The sequence below is a fragment of the Homo sapiens genome, chromosome 3 (assembly GCF_000001405.40).
Source record: "Homo sapiens chromosome 3, GRCh38.p14 Primary Assembly".
Taxonomy (NCBI): domain Eukaryota; kingdom Metazoa; phylum Chordata; class Mammalia; order Primates; family Hominidae; genus Homo; species Homo sapiens.
In genome coordinates this window covers 176,510,202-176,515,554 of record NC_000003.12, presented here as the reverse complement: position 1 = coordinate 176,515,554, position 5,353 = coordinate 176,510,202, and the positions used below count along the sequence as shown (strand labels likewise).

General features: G+C 45.5%; 1 non-coding gene across 1 annotated transcript; it reads right to left on the bottom strand.

Annotated features, from left to right (window-relative positions):
* Positions 1–403: 403 nt before the first annotated feature.
* MIR7977 (microRNA 7977) lies at positions 404–452 on the bottom strand. The gene has a single exon (NR_107017.1). It is a non-coding gene; the product is annotated as a microRNA 7977 (primary transcript).
* Positions 453–5,353: the final 4,901 nt, after the last annotated feature.

Here is a 5,353-nt window from a genome sequence, read left to right as displayed (position 1 = left end):
TGCAAATGCTGGTGGCTAGAAGCCAGGTCCAACCAATATGGTGGTTCCCGTGACTTTTTCTTTGTTGCCACGTATGCAGAACATCATGGTGACCAGCCAGGTAGCCATATGTGCATATTTAAAGGCTAGGGTGGGAGAGCTGGCTTTTTTGCAGGCTATGTGAATGACACACCTGGTCAAACCAATCCCCTGGCTCCTATGCAAACCAAACACCACGTCGTCCAGCCTCCCAATATAACCGACTGCTTTCTGCTACATGTGGGGTTTTCCATTTGGAGCCCTCCTCCCTCTGTATGAGGGAGCTGTTTTCTTCTTTCTTGCCTATTAAACATTCCACTCCTTAAACCACTCCACGTGTATCCGTGTCGCTAATTTTCTCCGTGCGAGAACAAGGACCTTGGGTGTTTCTCCAGACAACAGACCCATATCATTTTTGGTGCGTTGGCTGGGAAACCAAGGTACAATATCCATTGGGGTTGGTGAGCAGAAGAGCAAACTCAAAACCTGTCCTTTCATTCCGAGGCTCTTGGCTTCCATTTTAAAATCAAATCAAATCAATAACAGCATCTGTCAACCATCTAGATATGCTTAGTGTGGCTGCCATTCTTAAAGACTCGCATGTCAGCCTTGCTGGGGAGAACATGAAGACCCCCCTCCCTCCAATACCCTGGGTCATTGGGAATGTTGGCCGTGCTTCAAACCAGCTTTTCTGTTCATGGGGAAAATTAGCCATTGCATAAGGCGGGGAAAAGTTCTGAAGCAACTGAGAATTTCTGGCCAGGGCATTTCCTAGTGTTATTCAAAAGCTTCTGGACCGGACTCAGCCTCCAGCAGCCTGCCCAGGTGTTGGTAAAAGATCCCCAGTTATCCTGTCGCAAAACTTTTTTTCTGTTTCTATCCACGGTCGCTATGCCTCTTATTCTCTTTGTGTGTCGAATGTGTGGGAATTTTTACAGCCTAGGGAAGTAATCCTGTTAGGCAAGATCAGGAAATGCTGTAATAACCGGGGCTATAGCTCAGGAAAATGCTGTTGCAATCTTCTAGGAACAGAGGTCTCTGAAACCCCGGTTGTGAGATGAGTCCCTACTATGCTGCTGGTGGCACATAGTATTCCTAAGCCAACAGCGCCACCTAGTGGAAATAGACACCCTCTTCATAAGACGCATTGCTTGTCCGCTACAGTCCACCGCAGCTTCCTAATTTTTCCTTTTTGCCCCTTCCTACTGGAAACCAGGCTTTATGCTGCTTCTGTGAACAGGAAAATTCTGCCTTCAACAATTAGGAGTAAATTGTCCTCTGCAGCCAAATTTGAGTCCTGATCCTGTCCCATCAACAGGAAAGTCACGATTAGGCCCCCACATCCCTTTAAGGAAACTATTCTGTCTCCAATAAGACAGTCCTTAATTAGTAAGGGGATTTTAAGTCTGAAAGTTAACCAGAACCATTTTTCTAAGGGTTAAGGCTTTAACACGGGCCATAGTAGCAGGCAATCTAGCACATTCCCTCCATTAAAGGACACTTGCCTTTTATATAATCTTTCCCAAGGTCAATTTTTTTTAAGGGAGGCACACAGGTCACACAAGTCTAGGAAGTCAAAGGGAAATCACAGGCAGAGGACTAGAGCTACTTGAATGAGCATGACTAGCCCCAGTTGCTTGGTTTCTTTGGTGCCATGGCTTGGAGGGTCACACATACAACCATGGGCAGCACATTTAACAGGGTGCTGGGACCCAGGAACCAAGGAAGGAAAACAGTTGGGGGGACGCTCCCACTGTCTTCTTCTCCACTCTGGGTTATACAGAGAGAGGAAGGAGACAAAAGAGACACCTTTTTCTCACTTCTCTTTCTAGATGGGTAACAGATCATGTTCAGCATGTACTCCCCTGGAGTATATTCTAAAGCACTGGGACTGCTTCAACCCTGAGACTTTGTAGAAAGAGCACCTCATATTCTATGGCATAAGGGCATGGCCTTCTTACCATCTTTAAGACAGACAAACCTGGCCTGCTGGGGGGAGCCTTCATTTTAATACTGTCCAACAATTAGATATTTTCTGCAGATGGAAGGACAAATGGTCTGAGATACCCAATGTACAGGCTTTCTTTGCCCTGCGAGACGACCCAGACCTTTACAAGCTTTGTACAATTGACCCAGTTCTTTTAGCAGCATGACAGGCAAGCCCACAAGGAATAGTCCCCCAGAGCTAAAGCAGATTCCAGAGGAGCAATCTGAGACAGCTATTGAATGTCTCAACTCAGTTCCCCTCATCCAGAAGCCCCTCCAATCATACCATCAGGTCCTCCAGGTCCACCATCTCCAGTATTACCCACTTTCCCCACTTCATTCTTATCTCTGCAGGAAGTGCCTGATGAAAATCGTGCCATGAGGGTTCACGTTCCCTTCTCATTACAGGACCTTAAGCAATTAAAGGGAGACTTAAGCAGATTTTCTGATGACCCCAATAAATATATAGAAATTTTCCAAAATTTAACTCAGGTGTTTGACCTCACATGGAGGGATGTTATGTTGCTCCTAAGTCAGGCCTCACTGAAGCTGAAAAGCAAGCAGTTCTGCAGGCAGCAGAAAAATATGAAGATGAACAACATCTCCTATGGCAGACCAAAGAGAAAAAAAGGAGATAGGGAAGGTGAAGAAGTAATGGAAACTCCATTCCCACTAGGAAGAGAAGCAGTTCAAGTAGACAACCCTGATTGGAACCTCAATAACTCAGCAGATAAATGGAAAAGAAAGCACTTTTAAATGTGCATATTAGAGGGCCTACGATAAACCAGGGCTAAACCTCTTAATTACTCTAAACTGTCCATGATAGACCAAAAACCAGATGAGAAACCCACAGCCTTTATGGAAAGGTGGAGAGAGGCACTAATAAGACATGCCTCTTTATCCTCTGATTCAGTCAAGGGACAGCTCATCCTGAAGGAGAAGTTTATTACACAGGCAGCTTCCAACATTAGAAGGAAACTGCAGAAGTAAGCTATAGGACCAGATAGCACCCTAAAGAACCTCCTGAGAATAGCCACTTCAGCCTTTTACAATAGGGATCAGGAGGAGGCCCAAGAAAAGGAGAGGAAACACAAGAGAAGGACAGAGCCTCTATTAGCAGCCTTGCAAGCTTGCAAAGTCCAGGATCTCCAAGGTGCATCTACCAGCTGTTATTAATGTGGAAAGTCAGGGCATTTTAAGAAGGAATGCCCAGGCAGAAAGAACAAGCCACCTCAACCCTGTCCAGCCCATGGCAGAGACCACTGGAGATCAAACTGCCCCTGGAAACAGAGCTCACTGGGTTCAGGACCTGTCTTGCAGATGGTCCAGCAGGACTGATGGGTCCCGGGGCTCAATCCCCCAGCTTCAGCTGGGGCTCAGACTGCCATTACCACACAGGAGCCCTGGCTGATTCTGGAAATTGAAGGAAGGAAGGTAGATCCCTTAGGGATACTGGAATCAGCCTCTCTCTTCTCTGTAATCCAGGCCTCCCCTCTTCCCATAGCAAGACTGTGAGGGGTGTCTCAGGAAAAACTCTAACCTGATATTTTTCTCAATCTGTTAGCTGAAGATGGGGGCCTATTATTTACAAATGGCTTTTTAATCATGCCTGAAAGTCTCACTCTTTTATTGGGTAGAGATATTCTTGTTCACACAGGGGCAAGCATCCTTATAGCCCCAGGACAAACTCTTTGTCCCCTCCTGATGGAAGCTAATATTAATCCAGAAATGTGGGCAACTCAAGGAAGAATAGGTCAAGCTATAACTGCTAGACCAGTCCAGATCCATCTTAAGAATCCTACTTCTTTTCCTAATCAGAGGCAGTATCCCCTAAGGCCAGAGGCTAGGAAAGGGTTAGAAGTTATTATTAATAACCTAAAGATGCAGGGCCTCCTCAAACCCTATAGTAGCCCCTGAAACACCCCAATATTAGGAGTGCAGAAAGCCAATGGGGAATGGAGACTAGTTCAGGACTAGTTCCGCCTCATTAAAGAAGCTGTAGTTCCAATCCACCCAGTGGTATTTAATCCCTATACCCCGTTAATTCACATATCTGAGGGAACTAAATGGTTTACAGTTCTAGATTTAAAGGATGCCTTTTTCTGCATACGGTTACATTCTGACTCTCAATACCTCTTTGCCTTCGAAGATCCCTCTGGCCAAACTGCCCAATTAACATGGACAGTGCTTCCTCAGGAATGTGTTTGAACAGGCACTGTCAAAAGACCTCTCTGAGTTTTCGCATCCTCAAGTTAGGGTCTTGCAGGATGTTGTTGTTACTCTGCTCTGTGCCCCAACTGAGGAAGCTTCTCAGGAAGGCACTGAAGCTCTCCTTAACTTCTTAGTAATAGAGGATATAAGGTTTCAAAACCCAGGGCCCAGCTTTGTCAAGCCTCAGCGAAGCACCTAGGTTTAGTGCTGTCTGAGGGGATTGGAACATTAGGGGAAGAAAGGATTAAGCCTATTTCCTCCTTCCTCCTCTCCAAAACCCTCAAGCAACTAAGAGGATTTTTGGGCATTACAGGATTTTGCAGACTATGGATACCTGGGTATGGTGAAATAACCCATTTATTATATAATCTCATAAAAGTAACTAAGGGAACTAAAACTCATCTTTTAACCTTGGAACCTGAAGCTCAAAAGGCCTTTGACCAGCTAAAGCAAGCCTTGCTTAAGGCATCAGCTCTCAACCTTCCTGTAGGGAAGGGCTTAAATCTGTATGTATCACAAAGGAAGGGAATGGCCCTGGGAGTTTTAACACAGACCCAAGGACCAGCTCAACAACCAGTGGGTTACCTAAATAAGGAACTTGATTTGGTGGCTAAACAATGGCCAGCATGTCTCTGAGCCATTGCCTCAGTGGCAATGGTCCCAGAAGCCTCCAAATTAACCCTGGGAAATGATTGAACTGTTTACACCCCACACAACATGGCAGGACTACCGTACCCTAGAGGGAGCCTCTGGCTAACAGACAGCTGACTGTTCAACTAGGAGGCCCTGCTGTTAGAGGGTTCCAACATCAAATGAAAAACTTGTTCTTACCTACATCCAGACACTTTCCTCCGCAAGGAAACTCGGGAACCTGAATATGATTGTGAACAAGTCATAATACGGACCTATGCAGCCAGGGAAGATCTCAGAGAAACTCCCCTGGAGAACCCAGACTGGACCCTCTTCACAGATGAGAGCTCTTTTGTAGAACAAGGAATCCATAAGGCAGGATATGCAGTTCTCTAAATGACGTCATTGAAAGTACATCTCTCCCTCCAAGCACAAGCACTCAATTAGTTGAGCTAATAGCTCTGACAATAACACTTAAATTAAACAATGGAAAGGTAGCTAACATTTA